Raw genomic sequence first — 16,907 nt, 5'->3', positions numbered from 1 at the left:
CAAAACAGTTTAAAAAAAGATAGTTTTGCAATGATGCACATTTAAACTAAATGCTGTGTAGAATTAGAGAAACTCCCAGGTTACCTAGGAGATGACACGGAGAGTGTAAGAAATGGTGCCACTCACACTGCCTGTTCTATGGACTCCAGGCGGCCCCTGGGCAGTGAGCGCTTCATCACGAAGGCGCCGTGGTTACTGCCAAAGCTTGGAGGAGCAATGGAGCGGGAGAGAAGGAAAGAAAAATGGGTGGGAAAGGAGAAGTCCAGGTAGTGCAGCAACAACTGTTTCAGGTCTCCCCCAGCTTCCCCAGGACCCTGGGCTATCCTGAGACGGTGAAGAGAAAGAACATTTCAGCCACTCCAGAAAAACTCACCACGTTAACAAGCCTACTCTTCAAAGGGGAGCAACCTGAGCAGGAAAATAAACAAACTTACAGTCAGATGCCCAGCACATGGCCATGACACTGCAGGGCTCCCCAGGCCTCCTCCAAGACTTCCCTGTGTTACGCTGTCTTTATTTCATGATTTTCATTTAGGATACTATGTTTTTGGGAGTTTACCGTGTATCTGTTATGGGGAACACCTTCTGAGGGAATAAAATCTTCCATATTCTCCTTACCATATGATTAAATATTTATTGATATGATTTCATTCCAAATTAAAGTTTCCTCGAATCAGTTAATAAAATTTAGAAAGCAAGCCAATAGCTTTCAGTGTTCTTTAAATCTGAGTCAAGAAAAGACGGCTGGAGGCGGGGAGCGGGAAAAAAAAGAAAAAAAAAAAAGACTCCTGAGGAAGGGCATTTTCCTTGACCAACTAAAGAGTACATGTCTTGTAACTGTTACTGAAGATAGCCAATTTATCAAATACCTCCCAGAATAAAACCTTAAAACACAGTATTCCTTTACAAACATTTACCCACATTTAATACTGAGTACATTCTGAGGTAACTTCTAGGTCCACTCCAAGAATCTAAATTTGTTTCCATTCCCAGTTTCCAAGATCTTTACATGAGTGATAATGTTGATATTAATAGTTGCCACCATTTGTGCTTTGAGCCCTGAGCCAAGCGTTATGTTAGGAGTTTTTGCACTTGTTACTGCAAATACAATATGAGATGTTTACCAGATATGGAACTGAGGCTTAGGGAGGGTAAGAAATTTGCCCAAGGCCACAGAGCTAATAAATGGTAGGGCTGTGCTTCTACTTTTCGGCTTACCAACTAGTCAAGAAAGGTCTATTTAGCAAGTGAATTAAATCAGTATGCAGACAACATCAATGTATTTTATAAGAATGAACATAAAATAACTGAAGGTCAATCCTATCAATCTGCTGGGGTCTCCCAAGCGTCATGTGACTGCTCTGCCAGGGGAGCAGTGGTCTTCCCTCGGTGCCGTGCACCTGGCATTGCTGTCCTTCATACATTTCCTTCCAAACGTGGTGCCTTCTCCTTTGTTTCCAACGAAATTAGAAGCCACTCCAGAGGAGAAAGAGAAAACTTTTTTTTTTTTCTTGTAAAAACATATGCCCCTCCATTCAGATTAGGCTCTGTGGAGCTTGGGAGTTGTAAGGATAACAAATGATTCAGAAGACAATTAAATTCACCCAGAAAAATTCCAGCAAAAAACTCCAGGACTACAGGCAGCTGGGAGTTTCATAAGGTAGCCCATAGAGAAAGTAAACATGAAAAAAGCTTAAGTCTATCTACATTACCAATGAAATGGTAATGAAATTCTTCTGCCTAACCCCTCCGCCACCAATACCCATCTAAGGAAAAACTTACTCTCACACGAAAACATGGTTTTGCTGGGCTGAATCTGGCCAATCCTAAAACCAACAGCAGCTGCTGGCAGGCAGTGAACTGCCACCCCAGCCATGAAGGCAGAGGAAGCGCAGAGCGGGCGTGGCTGCTTCTCAAGGGTATCTAAAGTATATTCACCACACTCACTGTTCTTAAAATGTCTTCTCTCCATAATAGCCCACTTCCCAAATTTCACTCAAAGACAGAATATAATCAACAGAAAGGGATTTTACTTAAGAATAGATAAAATCAGTACATTCCAGGCAAAAATATCTTTAACCCAGGAATAGGGAAGAACATCAAAGATTACTGGAGGCCCCTGGTCATGGTTCTCATGGTTGAGACTTGTCATGGATTGTGTAGGATCCAGGGTTAGTTCTATGTTTCAGAAAGGTCCATAGAGCTCTCCTGGTACCACAGTTTAAAAGAAAAAATCAACATAAAATCTTTAATTAGAGTAAAAATGTTTATGTTAAGCAAGTACTAAAATTTGATTCATTCTATCCAAAACAGACATATTATCTGATTTATTTGTACTTTAATGGTGCTTAGTGAATAGACATGATTATTTTGGTCCATTATTTAAAGAAAAAAGCTCACCAAGAATAGCAATGTATTCTGAATTAAAATAAACATTCCTTTATCCAAGTTTTAAAAATTTCTCAGCTTCCCAAAACCCCCCAAAAAACTCCCGAAGGAAAACTTAGGACACTAGATGGCAGCAGAGCGCTACACCAAGCTCTCCATCAGCAGAGCAAGTGACCTGCAACGCCCTGGTAGAATGAGTCATTCAAACACCTGTAAATAGGTTCCTCGCAAGCCCGCTCCTCAATGCTGACATGAATGGCCAGGGAGGGCTTTATATAGCTTTTCTGCAGGACACTAGGAGCAATTAATTAATTTCAGTACTGTGTAAAAAGTCAACAAGTAAATAGCTTTAGAACTGAAAAATTAAAGTCATTTATATGTTTAATAGGATGATTCTGGGGAAAAACATAATCTTCAATAATTTTATTGAAAGGATGAAAGAATGATATAGACAGCGCAACACCCCCGCTTCTGCTAATGAAATAGAAGACATGCAGACTGGGGCAGCTGACGCCGCCACGCCTCCGCGAAGCCCGGGGCCTCGCTTCCCTCCCAGCAGCTCTCTGCCTGTGTCTATTTTTTCTCAGCACCACTGGTCCCCCCGCCCACTGGCATCCATAACCTTATACATCATCTCCTCTTTGGTTGCCATGGATTCTTCGTCTTGTGCCTTTCTAAGCTCAGTCCTCTCGAGAGTCCATCTCTTCTCTCTGCTCTGGCCCCAAACACCTCCCAGGTAAACCCAGCCCTCCCCTCCCCAGCCCTCCACTTCTTTCTCCTTTCCGTAGTTAAACTCCTCAGAAGCCTGGTCGGTCCTGGCTCCTTGTTCAGGAACCCCTTGCCACCATCAGAAGCACTTGCATCCACCATTCAGTGGCAGCTGCTCTCGCCAGGCCTATCAAGGAGTGACCTGCCCACTTCTCCCCAAGCACAGCTGGTCGGGTCTCATCTCACCAGCATTAATGGAGACCGGCCCGTTCTTTCCTTGCTTAAACATGTTCTTCACCAGCCTTCGGGCACCGCAACCTCCTGCGTTTCTTCTTATCCCACTGGCCGCTCCTTCCTCGGCCCCCCCACTGGCTCTCCCTCCTCTCGTTGATCCGTAAGGACCCTGGAGCTCCGTCCTGGTCCTCAGTCCTGGGGGCGCTCCCCGACCAGGGGTTTCAGCCACCCCATGGCTTGAAAGCCCATGCCTCACGTACAGCTCTCTGGCCCAGCCCCTCATCTCCTGACTCAACTTCCCTCCCTGTATGCCTAAGAGCCCTCTGGCACAAACCTCTGCCAGTCTCAGTAAGTGGCATCGCCGTTTTCCAAGTGCGTCAGACCAAAAGTGAAGATGTCATTTGTGAGTTCTGCCTCTAGGCAGCCACATCCAACCCGTCACCAAGTTCTGGGTCTGTTTTCAAACTACCTCCCATGCCTCCGCTGCTGTGGTATTGGTCCCAGCACCACCCCACCTTGAGGACACACCTGCGCCAGTCTCCCTGCGGCCTCCCTGCATCCATTCGCCTGAGCAGCCAAAGCCAGTCCCTGAAAACATAAATCCAACCGTGATAGCCTGGGTTCCTCCCTGCTGTTTTATTTCCTTGTCTGTCTCTACCACTAGAAAGCAAGCTAGACATGGCTAGGACTCCGTCTAGTTCCCTATTGTGTCTCTAAAACCTAGAACAGTGCTGGGCACACAGCATGTGTTTAATATTTGCTTAATGAATGGGAGAAAAAAGAAAAAACACTTAGGCAGACATTCTAAATGATGCCCTACAGGTTAAAGTTGGGACAACTGTTTTCCCAAAGCCGCCCCACCCTATCATTTCCATTTAATAATCTAATAAGAATGAACTTAGGAGTAAATCTGAAATTTCACATTTTTACTGGGCTTTTAAATTTATTACTTCATTACTCTGGACATTAAAGCTAGCCAAAGACACTTAATTTGGGAAAATAATATTCTTTAAGTAAAATCTGATTCTCTTTGAAAGTTTATCTTTGTATAGTAAATGTTACTTTGAGAACAGAGAGTCTAAATTATTCCAAAATTCTGTTAAAATACAGTCGTGTGTCACTTAACACTGGGGATGCCTTCTGAGAAATGTGTTGTTAGGCAATTTCACCATCGTGCAAACATCACAGAGTATACTTACATGAACCTAGATGGTCAGCCTACTGCACCCTGAGGCTACAGAGGGTGGTTTCTTGCTACAGCCTAGGCTTCAAACCTATAGAGCATGTTACTGCACTGAAAACAGTGTAAGCCACTGTAACACGATGGCAAGTATTTCTGTATGCAGCCTTGACCTCCTGGGCTCAAGAGACCCTTAGACCACACTAAATCTATATAAAAATTTTGTCTTTCTCAATAATATACCTTAGCTTACTGTAACTTTTTTACTTTTTAATTTTTTAAAACTTTTGAGTCTTTTTGTAATAACACTTAGGTTAAAACAAAAACACATTGCACAGTTGTACAAAAATATTTTTCTTTATATCCTTATTCTGTAAATTTTTCTATTAAAAGTGTTTTTCTTTTTAAACTTTTACAGACAACAGTGAGGCCCCCATCAGCCTGCCCAAGCACCATCGGAGGGCGCCAGAGAACCTCTGCTGAAATCACAGCTGCCACTCCGTGTGGCTCCAGCGCTCCAGCTACAGGTGCACACCTTGGTTATAAGCAGCGATGACCTGTCACTGCAGCAACAGGGGAGAAAGAAGACAGCACCTAGGAGCAGTGTGGCCACACACATGGGGAAGCAGTGCTGATGGAGGAAATGCAGGGGAGGGAGAGCAGGCACCAGGGAAGACCGGAAGGGCCTGGCCAGAGGCAGCCGAGGCAGACTCAGCAAGGGCCAAGGCCGTAGTGCCCGGGCTGCAGCCAGGCGTGGGGAGGGCCAAGGCCATTGGCAGGGCCCCAGCACAGGGCCGGGCACTGGAACAGGGCAGACGCAGGGACTGGGAACGTACCCCCGACCCAATCACCCCCACACCTCAACCCATGCGGTTGTCCAGCACAGGCCTCCCCTCTGCTGGCTCTGGTCAGGGACCCCATCCACCTGTGCCCCCAGCTCTCCTCACGCCTGTTCCACCGTGACTCTGTGTCCCCTCTCCTCTACATGAGCTCCTTAGGGGCAACGACACGTCATCCATCTTGGTGTGCCCGGTGCCTGAGGAGAAATTGCTGAACTGAGGTGCCCTGGTGCATGGGGCTTATTAATAACTACATTCATAAAGAAGAGCTGCCCATTAATTAGGCATTTCTGCACCAAAGAGGCCAATTCTAAAATGGAGGCCTCCCGCTGGTAGTGGCATTAAACCACCTGGTATAAAAGTACACAGGGCCGGGTCATTCCAGCACTTTCGGAGGCTGAGGTGGGAAGATCACTTGAGACCAGGAGTTTGAGACCAGCCTGGGCAATATAGTGAGACCCCATTTCTATTTTTAAAAACAATAGAATAAAATTAGAATAAAATCAAGCCACCCGTAAACACACTCACTTTGGCACTGGTAACTCTGCACCCTCAGGCAAGTCCATCACCAACCCTGACACACGCAGCCTGGGTCTGATTCTTCAGCCAGTCCCTTCCCCTCTCTCGGCCTTGGTTTCCTCATCTGTAGACTGAAGCTACTGCTATGGGTCTCACAGCGTTGTCAAGACAACTCACTCGATGGGAACATACATCAAATGCCCAGCACTGGGCCTAGCCCAGAATGCTCAGAGCTTCCTCATCGTACTCCCCGTTGTGGGCAGTGGCCAAGGTTCCTTCCAGGTCTAAGAGCCCATGGGTCTAAGCTCCTCTGATTCTGCCCCCAAGTCACCGCTCTTCATGAGAAACAGAAGAGCCCAAGTCCCACAGAGCAACGCACTACTGTCAAAGGACAGCCAGCGGATGCCCTCCCCTTCTCCACTGCGAACTGCCTTCAGAAACAGTGGACATCCTTCCCCTTCTCCACTGCGAACTGCCTTCAGAAACTGACTCCATGTTTTACTGGCTGAATTTAGTAAAGGAGCTCAGGATACAACATTCAAGAACACAGTATCATCTGCTCCGGGGCCAGGTGATGGAGCTGAAGAAATTGCTGACCAATAAGAAAGACTAGGATGTGGCAAAGGTTAGTCTACATCCTCCTTTTTCTCTCCCGGCTGGCAGCCTGGTCTCCAGCGTGCTTTGTTCTCTGTCCTTACCCCTTCCACTTGAGCCTTCCCAACAGACCCAGCTGGCCTCGCCACCAGGGCACAGCATCCCCTGTCTCCACACTGCCTTTACAAAGCCTTCCCCAGTGATCCTGGTTAGGACTCCCGTACTTCTATACGCACTACCCAAGCTTTTATTTAATAATTAGAATCAATCAATTTTAGTAACTAAAAATGGCCACCACTTACTGAGCATTTTCCTTGTGCTCGGTAATCTCATCCATCATCTTACTTAATGGTCAGGGCAGTTCTAAGGGGAGACAGTATTACTGCCATTTTACAGAAGAGGTTAAGGGATTTTCCAAGGTGATAAACCAGTGAGTGGCAGAATGAACATCCGAGCAGGCAAGTCAGGGGCGGGGCTTATTCACTTCTGTGTTCCTTAAAGCACCAGGCAGCTCCCGGCACTTCGAATTTGCTCAATCCATTTTTGTTGAGTGAGTGATCCTTAATCAAAAGTCTCATTGCCTTGATATTCACGTGAGAGCGGCGTGTACCTGCCATGGCAACAAGTTCTATAAAACACCCTACAGTCATCTCTCGGCTCCTCTCATAAACATTGTCACCGTCAGCATTGCAAATCTGTGGCTGCAGGCCAGCTACAAAATGCACTCAGAGGAGTTTTCATTTACTTTCATAAAAATTCCATGATTAAGTGCCTTTTAAAAACAGGCTGGTTAATTCCATCTTACAAGGAATTAAGTAAGTGCAAAAATATTTTCTCCTTTCTACTTGGGAGATGTTATCATTGGGCATGATGACTGCAGGATGACGACTGAAAAGGCCACTGTTCATTCAATCGCTCTTGACCTGCTAAGACAGGCAGCGATAGCCGGTCCTTCACCGTGGCCACAGCAGCTTTTTACAGAGCCCAGACCGCTGCCCTCTGTGCCCTTTGTGCCCTTTGTATTGCGGCCAGGGGGCAGGTCCTGCCTTGGGTTATGCCCCTCTGATCAGAAAGGCCTGTTTCTGGGCAGGTTTTGGGTCATCCAGGCTGGGAGCTGGGCTCAGTGTCAAAGAGACACTTTGGTGTGTCCCATGGGACAACCCTCGGTCCCTTCAAGTAGATGCCCTCTCTGGCTCCCTGGGCTGGTGCTACCTGACCGTTCTTGCCACACGGTGGGAGCCCGGAGAAGCTGGACTTCAGTGCCAAGAACCCTGTCAGGCCCCTAGTCCTTGCTGCTGGAAAACCTGTTCCTTTTCAAGTTTACGAGAGCCCAGAAGTGATATGTACGAAATTGCCCAAGGAAACAATGTGACCTCCCACTGCTGGACAAGTTGGTGGCACCCTGTGTTTATGACCTTGACTCTGATATATGACTGGCCACGCCAAGTGATAACCAAAGATTTCCAAAGGGCATCCTAGCCTCCGAACATAGGTAGCACCTGACATGGCACCTTAAATTGTGGGAGGTAATTATCCATTTTTTTCTACTGGGGTAAAAAAAAATGCATAAAATACCATTTGGCATTGTAACCACGTCTAACTTTACAATTCCAGAGTTAAGTACATTCTTCTTGCTGCACAACCATTACCACCAGCCCCCTCCAGAACTTGTTCAACTCACAAAACTGAAGCTTTGCATCCATTAAACAACTCCCCATTTCCCAGCCCCAGCCCACCCCTGGCACCCACCTTTCTACTTTCTGTCTCTAGGAATCTGACTACTCTAGGTCCCTCCTGTAAGTAGAATTACCCAGAACTTGTCTTTTTGTGACTGGCTTGTTTCACTTCCCATAATGGCCTTAAGGTTCATTCATGCTGTAGCCTGTGTTGGAATTTCCTTCCTTTTAACAATCCTCCATTGCACAGAGAGAGCAGATTTGGTTTATCCATTCACCCATCGATGGACACCTGGCCACTTCCACCTCCCAGCTACTGTGAATAGTGGTTTCGATAATAACCCATTACTGTGAATAACGTGTGCAAATATCTGCCTGAGGGCCTGCTTTCACTTCTTTTGTATATATCCCCAGAAGTGGAACTAGCTGGATCATATGGTAATTGTATTTTTAATTATTTGAGGAACAATGATGGCTTAAAAAATTTTATTGATCAATGTACCATTAGGTGGGACGCTTAAATTAAACAAGCTATTAGCTCTGCACTGCCAGTGGAAGCTTTTGATGGCGACCAGAGCTCCTCGGGATGTTCAGGAGTGACCGTCCCCGAGTGACTTAGGAGGGTCACATAAAATGTGTTTCATGAAGTCACATCTGCTCATTCTAGAAGGCTGTATGCATAATATTCACCCCAAAGTATAAGAGCCAATCAAATTTAGGTAAGTTAATATGCTTTGAATACTTAGTCTAAGTATTTGGATAACATGTATTTAAGTCTGAGCTCTAAATTTGTTGGGGAAAAAATTATAAGGATGCTGAGTTAAAGAACAGATGTATTTCTTATATTTTCATAAAGATGTCTGTACAATGATAAAGATACAGAAATACTCTAGATCAACACTGGGTCATTTATGGTAACATAAAGGAGTTATTCCACCATGTTTTTGTGTTTCTTTATAAAACTGGTTAAATTACTAGTCCCAAAAAGGACAGCTGCTATAAAAAATACATTAAAATAGCATTAAAACAAAGCCCATCTTCTGAACCCATTCAGAAGAAAACATGAAGCGGAGTGGACAAGGTCTTTGACCATTGTATGAAAAAACTAACATTGTCTACTGGAACTTTCAAGAACGCATGCAGAAGGGCAAAGAAGAACTGGAAAATGCTAAAATATATGAGATAGTTTTCCAAGCCACCTCCATCAGCCGGGAAACGGGCAATTGTCAAATAGATGCTGCCTCCGGCTCTATTTCTGTGATGGTCACTCACAAAGACTATGCCTCAACTGTTATTTATAATTAATATAAGGAGCTTAGGGACCAAAAAAGGCAACATGAAACAGCTCAGAATAGCGGGCCTCTGACGAGCAGACTTGCCTTGTCACCTGAGGGCGCATCTCTGTGTCCTAACTTTTTTTTGTTGATGCTGTGTCAGTGCCAAAATCACCTTCCATGGGTCACACAGAGCTAGACTAAAAGGAAGCTATTTTTATATCACAATAACCTAAGATCATAAATTTTATAACTCTGATCATATCGAGATCATCAAAACCGATTATATAATAATAAGCAATAACACCCTGAGAAATCCCAGCGAGAACTCCTTCCTCTTAGTTCTCATGCCTCTACTAAATAATTGATCCTGTGTCACCTCTCACTGGGCGACCTGGAGGACAACGAGCACACTGAGTCTCGGTATCTCCAGGTGCAGCATGCTGCCTTACTTCAGTTAAGTGCCCAATGAATAAGCATCCTCCACAATGGCAGAGAATATGGGGTGGCCCAGAAAAGTAGGTTTAATTCCAGTTTTCCTTACATGGAGAGAGAGCTCTAGGAGTTTCCAGCTCCTTTGGGGCAGGATTAAAATATTAATTTTAGACTTTGTTAGGTTAAAAAATGTGCATGCTGTAATTTCTAGTGCGACCACACAAAAAATTAAGAAACAAATATCTCAAGTCCAGACTTGTAGATGGGGAAAATTGAAACAAACAAAAAAAATTGAGAATCCCAAAGAAGAACAGAAAAAAAGCAAAAAAGAAAAATTGTAACGGGTACAAAAAAGAATACCAAATAGGTAGATAAAATTACAAATATCTCACTAATTACAAGAAACGTAAATGAACTACATATTCCATTTTAAGTGACCACGATTGCAAGATTTAAAAATTTTTTAACAACAAACTATTTACAAGAGGTGTAAACCAGAGAAGAAAAGGATTGACAGAAATATAATTTGACAGGCAAATTCCAACCAAAAGAAAGTTGGTCTAACTATATTAGTATCAATAAAACCAGACTTTATCTTTATTAATGCTTTTAACCTTAAAGAGAGCCCCTTCATAATGATAGAAGGTTGAAATTGTAGGAAATTATACCAACCTTAAATGTTCATGCCTACATAACAGGGCATCAAAATGTAAAAACAACCAGAATTATAAGGAAAATCTTTAACTAGAGCCTCTCTCAGTAACCAACAGAAAACTGACTCAAACCCCCTCCACACTCCTTCCCCCAAATCAGAAGATATGAGAGATTTAAACAACCTCACAAACTTGACCCAGAGGCCATGAAGAATGCTTTAAGGAACAACATCAGAATACACTTTCTCTTTTTTTCTTTTCCAGCATCTACAGGCACGAAAAAACACTGATCCTAGAGTGAAGATGAATGCAGCCCAGAAGAGAGCCACAGTTGACTCAAAGCCAACACCTAAGATGAGTGAGAACTACTTTGTTGCAATGAGCCACAGATATTTGAGGGTAACTATTACATAATCCAACAAAAGCTAATGTTATCAAGTTTATTAATCAACCACCTCTGCCAATGAGAGAAATACTCGAATCACACTTAGGAATTAAAACAAAAAATCACGATGCTTACTGTTCTTTATTTAAACAGATGAAAATATTATTTGAATTAACTGGGAATTTGTTTTGGGGTACTCCTATTTTTCTATGCACAGCCATGGAAGTTTCAATGTTCTGAAAACTGAGATGATGCAAAGAAATCAATTAAAACCTGACTCATCCAATTAACAGCTCACCACTGTTTTTGGAAGATAACAATTACATGCTAAAAATGGGCTTTTAAAAAAGATGAAATATTCTGCATGCGGGAAAAGATGTTTAGAGGAAATTTCACATAGAAATTACTACTGAAATTATTCATGAAACTGCACAAAGAACAATCTTTCCAACTGTCCAATAAATAATATTATCATGCTAAGAAATAAGGTTTTTAAGAAAATAAATCTAACTCTTTAAACATATAAATGTCACATACGTTTGCTATTTTCAGATGCTGACGGATGAGGAGTACTCTAGGTAAAGCGATTCTTGGGCTCTCTCAGGGGGTTAAAGTGTTTCAAGATGTTTCAAGCCTGGTTCACGCTCTTAGGAGGGCACATCTAGACCCAAGCTCTGGCTCTGGCTGTGCTACACACTTGATCCACACCATGGCCATCACATGGAAAGTATGGACAAATATTGGTACCTAACTCTGGAGTTTGTTATCATTAAGTGTGGTAAGGCAACTAAATAGCTTAGCACAGGGACTGCAGTGTAACAAACCACTATGTAAGTGTCAGTCAACACTATCACCATCACCAAAGGGAATAAAAGTAACTCATCATAAAGTTCTTCAAGTGGGGGACAGACATGAAAGCAACCCCTCATCCAGCATGTCCATCTGTCAAAAACACTTGAATACAACCTCTGGAATACTCGAACTTGAATTCCTTCAAGGAACTTACCAAGTCACAGAACTCAAACACCAGGAGGTAGGGAATCGCTTCTACGCACTGTCCAACACACTGAAGAATATTTGGATGCTGAAGAATGCTGGGAAAAATAAAAGCCATAATATTGTTCATCAGGAAGCATGATAATAACATTATTCAAACAAAAGCATACTAATAAAATTATTCAAATAGTAATCCAAATTTTTTCATAATAATTTATATAATATTTACATAAATGACAGGCTAAAAAGATCACGAAGATTATACTTAAAAGGTGTATACTAAGTTATCTAGCAAGTAATTCAAAGCCAATCAAGTGAATATTTTCACAAATTAAAAAAGAAATCTTAACATAAGAAACTTTAAAAATTTTTTTTCAAGAGACAGGGTCTCGTTCTGTCACCCTGGCTGGAGTGCAGTGGTGCAATCATAGCTCACTGCAGCCTCCAACTCCTGGGCTCAAGTGATCCTGCCACCTCAGCTGGCCAAATAGCTGGCATTACAGGCACGTGCCACCATGCCTGGCCTCAAGAATTTTTATCTTTAGTAATTTAAGTTAGGAGATAATATTTTAAAGCAGCATTTAAAAGAGGGCAGACTATACAGTCATCCCTTAGTACCTGCGGGAGACTGGTTCCATGAATCCCTGAAGATACCAAAATCCAAACCAAAGATGCTTAAGTCTCTTACATAAAATGGTGTCATTATCTACACATAACCTACGCACATCCGCCCATATAAATAGTCTCTAGATTACTTGTAATACCTAATACGATGTAAATGCTATGTAAAAAACTGTTATACTGTATTATTTATATTTTTTTTACTACTGCATTATTTCTTTCCATTTTTTTTTTTAATATTTTCCATCCACCATTGGTTGAATCCATGGACACAGAACCTGTGGATACAGAGGGCCAACTGTATATACAAATTCAGTAAGTATTTCAGCCAGGACAAAAAAGGGAGACCAGATCTGTACAAAAGACAGAAAAACTAATTGGGTGTGGGGACGCGCAACTGTGGTCCCAGCTCCTCGGGAAGCTGAGCCGGGAGTATTGCGTGAGCGCAGGAGGTGGAGGCTGCAGTGAGCCATGACTACACCACTGCACTCCAGCCCGGGGGACAAAACAAGACCCTGCTTCAAAACAACGACAACAACAAAACAAATTCAATATGTATTTCAGTCCAGATATTAAATAACTCAGTTTCTCCTTCAGGCTATCTAGCTTATACATTCTTTTCCATAAATTTCCACAGTATATGCAAACTCCTTTTGGAAAATATTGTGTCCAAAAGAAAATATAGTTAAATAAAAGGTATGCCAAAATAATTTTTTAAAAAACCCTTTATTTTGATACAATTATGAACTCACAGGAGTTGCAAAGACAGCAGAGAGAGGCCTGGTATACCCTTCACCCAGTTTCCCCTGTTGGTTACATCTGACACAATGACGTACAGTGCAACACCCAAACCCGGGAACTGCCACTGTGATAAAGTGTGTGCAGGGCTCCATGCCAGGTCTGCACGTGCACAGATGTGTGTAACCACCACCTCAATGGAGACTCAGAACTATCCCATCACCACAAAGATCTTCCCGCCCCACCCATGTGTACCCCTGGCAACCACTAACCTGTTCTCCATTTCTAGAATGTTCTCATTCTAAGAATATTATATAAATGGAATTGGTATAGTATGTGACCTTTTGAGATTGATTTTTTCACTCAACATAATCCCCCTGAGGTCATCCAAGGTGTTCCATGTGTCAATGGTTCATTTTTTTTTTTTTTTTTTTTTAATGTGGGAGCAGTGCTCCAGGAAATGTGTACTGCTTTGCTGAACCACTCACCTACTGACGGACATGTTAGTTTTTCCAATTGTTAGCAATTACAAATAAAGCTGCTATGAACAATCATGCAAGGGTTTTTGTACGGAAAAAAGTTTTCACTGCTCTGGAATAAATGGCAAGGGATGCAACTGCTGGGCTGTATGATGTGACGGTTAATTTTGTGTGTCACCTTGGCTGGGCCATAGTGCCCAGGTATTTGGTCAAATATTATCCTTATTATGTTTCTGTGAGGGTGTTTTTTGATGAAATTATTGCCTGTCTGTATCTATCTATCTATCTATCTATAATCTACCTACCTACCTACCTACCTACCTACCTACCTACCTACCTACCTACCGAGACAGGGTCTCACTCTGTCATCCAAGCTAGAGTACGGTGGTGTGATCATGGCTCGCTGCAGCCTTGAACACCTGGGCTCAAGTGATCTTCCTGCCTCAGCTTCCTGAGGAGCTGAGACTACAGGTGCGTGATGCCACCATGCCCAACTAATTTTTCTGATTTTTTCTACAGACAGGGTCTCACCACATTGCCCAGGCTGGTCTTGAACTCCTGGGCTCAAGCAATCCTCCAGCCTCAGCTTCTCAAAAGGCTAGGATTATAGACCTGAGGCACCGTACCCAGCGGATGACTATTTAAATCGGTGGACTTGGAGTAAAGCAGATCCTGCAACAATGGTGGGCCTCATCTATCAGTTGAAGATCCTAACAGAACAAAGACTGACCTCCCCCACAGAAGGAAGAACTCTGCCAGCAGACAGCCTTCAGCCTTAAACTACAACATCGACTATTCCCTGGGTCTCCAGCCTCCTGGTCCACCCTGCAGACTCTAGACTTTCCAGCCTCCGTAACTTCATGAGCCAATTCCTTTAAAAACATCTCTCTTTAGATATACATGTACATACACATCCTATTGGTTCTGTTCCTCTGGAGAATGCTAATATATAACTAATGCTAATATATAACTTAACGTATGTTTTGTTTTTTTAAGAAACTGCCAAGCTATTTTCTACAGTGGCTCTATCATTTTACATTTCCACAAGCAATGTATGAGGGATCTAGTTTCTCCACATCCTTGCCAGCATTTGGTATTGTCACTATTTTTTCATTACAGCTTTTTTTTTTTTGGAGACGGAGTCTTGTTCTGTCGCCCAGGCTGGAGTGCAGTGGCGTGATCTCGGCTCACTGCAAGCTCCACCTCCCAGGTTCACGCCATTTTCCTGCCTCAGCCTCCCAAGTAGCTGGGACTACAGGCACCCGACACCACGCCCGACTAATTTTTTGTATTTTTAGTAGAGACGGGGCTTCACCGTGTTAGCCAGGATGGTCTCAATCTCCTGACCTTGTGATCCACCCGCCTCAGCCTTCCAAGTACTGGGATTACAGGCGTGAGCCACTGCGTCCGGCCATTACAGCTTTTCTAATAGGTATGAAGGGATCTTAATTCATTACTTTAGTAGCTCATGACACTGAACGTCTTTTCATGTGCTTATTTGCTATCCATGTTATCTCCTCTTCGGTGAAATGTCTCTTAATGTCTTCTGACAATTTTTGAATTAGGTTTTTTTTTTCTGTTGAGTTTTGAGAGTTTCTTATAAATTCTAGATATGAGTCCTATGTCAGCTACGTGGTTTCCAGCTATTTTCTCCCAGTCTGTGGCTCGTCTTTTCACTGTTACCAAGGTCTATCACAACGCAAATGTTTTTAATTTTGATGATACAATCAGCCTTTTTAAGGAAGTTCAGCCATATTTTTGTTCTTTTCTGATGTTCCAAGACGCCTCCTTTTATCATTTCTTTTCTGTTTAGAAAACTCATTCTTCTAAGGCAGGTTTGCTGGTAATAAATTCTCTTAGTTTTCTGTCATCTGAGAATGTCTTGATATTCCCCTTCATTCCTGAAGGATATTTTCTCTGGAGAAAGAATTTCAGAGTTCTTTTCTTTAGAAAAGTGACAAACGTGCTGATTCCTTCTGGCCTCCAGGTTTCTGATGAGAAATCGGCTGTCCTCCACATTGCTTCCCGCTATAGGTAAAGTGCTGTTTCTGTCTCCCTGCTTTTAGGATTTTTTGTCTTTCATTTTCAGAAGTTTGACCATGTGTCTTGGCATGGATTTCCTTGGGTTGATCCTGTTTAGCATTTTCTCAATTTCTTAAATTTGTAGGCTTTTTCTTTTCCAAATGTAGAAAATTTTAGCCTAACTACTGCTTTGAATCCTTTTTCAGCCCCATCCTCTATCTCCGTTCCTTCTGAGACATCTATGACATGAATAATGCTGGATCTTTTGTTATATTTCCCCATGCCCCTGAGGCTGTAACTGAAATGATGAGTTCCTGTATTTCTTAGTCCTGAGGTTTCCATTTATGTCTTCTTTATGTCTTCTATTTCTCTGCTGAGACTATTTTTTTTGTTTTAAACGTGATGCAATTGCTCACAAAGCATTTTTATGATGAGTGCTTTAAAATTCTTGTCAGGTAATTCTAACATCTCTGTCATCTGTGTTGGAATCTGTTGTCTTTTCTGGTTTAGGCTGAGTTCTCCTGGTTCTTGGAATGCTAAGTGATTTTCAGATGACGCCTGGACATTTTAGGTCTTATGAGACCTTGGAACTTACTTAATCATGTATGTTACAGGCAGAAATCCCACAGTAGTTTTAAACACCTGACCTTCAACAGACCACAGACTAGTCTTACAGAACACATGACAAGGTTTACTTACTAGTAAGGTTCTCCATTTTTCAAAAAAGTATCTTGTTCCTTTGGGTTGGCACTTGCTTTTAACTCCTTCACGATGACTCTTGCTACGCTAGTGCCCGTGTAAATCTCTCCCAAGAGAACCTAAAATCAAAGAACAGTTTTTTGTGTCATTTCCATCAAAATGATAAAGGAGTCTGCTGCATTTACCGGGAAATGGAACACAGGTGAACAAGTTAAGCAATAAGCAGGTGACCTTCTATTCTTTTACTTACCACCTCACCAAAAGCTTGGAAAACTCAAATATTTTTCTTCAGTAAAAGGACCATTTTAAACCATTCACCAGATAGTTACAATATTCACATATTTATGCATATTTCTTTTCTATTTATTTTAAAATGTATTTATACTTATTTGTGTCGATTTATTTAAAAATGTATTCTACTTCAAGGAAATTCACTATGACTTTACAGAAGTGCAATTTATAAGTTC

The 16,907-nt window shown here is 42.5% G+C and overlaps 1 protein-coding gene across 2 annotated transcripts in view, besides 4 other annotated features; it reads right to left on the bottom strand.

Moving 5' to 3' along the window:
- Positions 1-16,907, bottom strand: part of LMTK2 (lemur tyrosine kinase 2) — a 102,777-nt gene that overhangs the window by 38,322 nt on the left and 47,548 nt on the right. For both annotated transcript variants that reach the window (NM_014916.4, XM_011515981.4), the window contains exons 5-6: positions 16,441-16,559; positions 11,892-11,979 (exon numbers count right to left, since the gene is read on the bottom strand). In NM_014916.4, coding sequence (NP_055731.2) covers positions 11,892-11,979; positions 16,441-16,559 — 207 coding nt within the window. The remainder of the gene's footprint in view (positions 1-11,891; positions 11,980-16,440; positions 16,560-16,907) is intronic.
- Positions 4,743-5,258: an enhancer, noted in NCBI's record as "H3K27ac-H3K4me1 hESC enhancer chr7:97795371-97795886 (GRCh37/hg19 assembly coordinates)". NCBI's record gives its function as "activates a minimal SCP1, AML or CMV promoter by ChIP-STARR-seq in primed H9 embryonic stem cells {active_cell/tissue: H9 hESC(primed)}" and the evidence as "EXISTENCE:reporter gene assay evidence [ECO:0000049][PMID:30033119]".
- Positions 5,259-5,776: an enhancer, noted in NCBI's record as "H3K27ac-H3K4me1 hESC enhancer chr7:97794853-97795370 (GRCh37/hg19 assembly coordinates)". NCBI's record gives its function as "activates a minimal SCP1, AML or CMV promoter by ChIP-STARR-seq in primed H9 embryonic stem cells {active_cell/tissue: H9 hESC(primed)}" and the evidence as "EXISTENCE:reporter gene assay evidence [ECO:0000049][PMID:30033119]".
- Positions 7,052-7,560: an enhancer, noted in NCBI's record as "H3K27ac-H3K4me1 hESC enhancer chr7:97793069-97793577 (GRCh37/hg19 assembly coordinates)". NCBI's record gives its function as "activates a minimal SCP1, AML or CMV promoter by ChIP-STARR-seq in primed H9 embryonic stem cells {active_cell/tissue: H9 hESC(primed)}" and the evidence as "EXISTENCE:reporter gene assay evidence [ECO:0000049][PMID:30033119]".
- Positions 7,561-8,070: an enhancer, noted in NCBI's record as "H3K27ac-H3K4me1 hESC enhancer chr7:97792559-97793068 (GRCh37/hg19 assembly coordinates)". NCBI's record gives its function as "activates a minimal SCP1, AML or CMV promoter by ChIP-STARR-seq in primed H9 embryonic stem cells {active_cell/tissue: H9 hESC(primed)}" and the evidence as "EXISTENCE:reporter gene assay evidence [ECO:0000049][PMID:30033119]".

Source organism: Homo sapiens, chromosome 7, assembly GCF_000001405.40.
Source record: "Homo sapiens chromosome 7, GRCh38.p14 Primary Assembly".
In the NCBI taxonomy this organism is placed as follows: Eukaryota; Metazoa; Chordata; class Mammalia; order Primates; family Hominidae; genus Homo; species Homo sapiens.
Note: the sequence above shows the minus strand (reverse complement) of the source record. Positions and strands in the feature narration are given on the sequence as shown.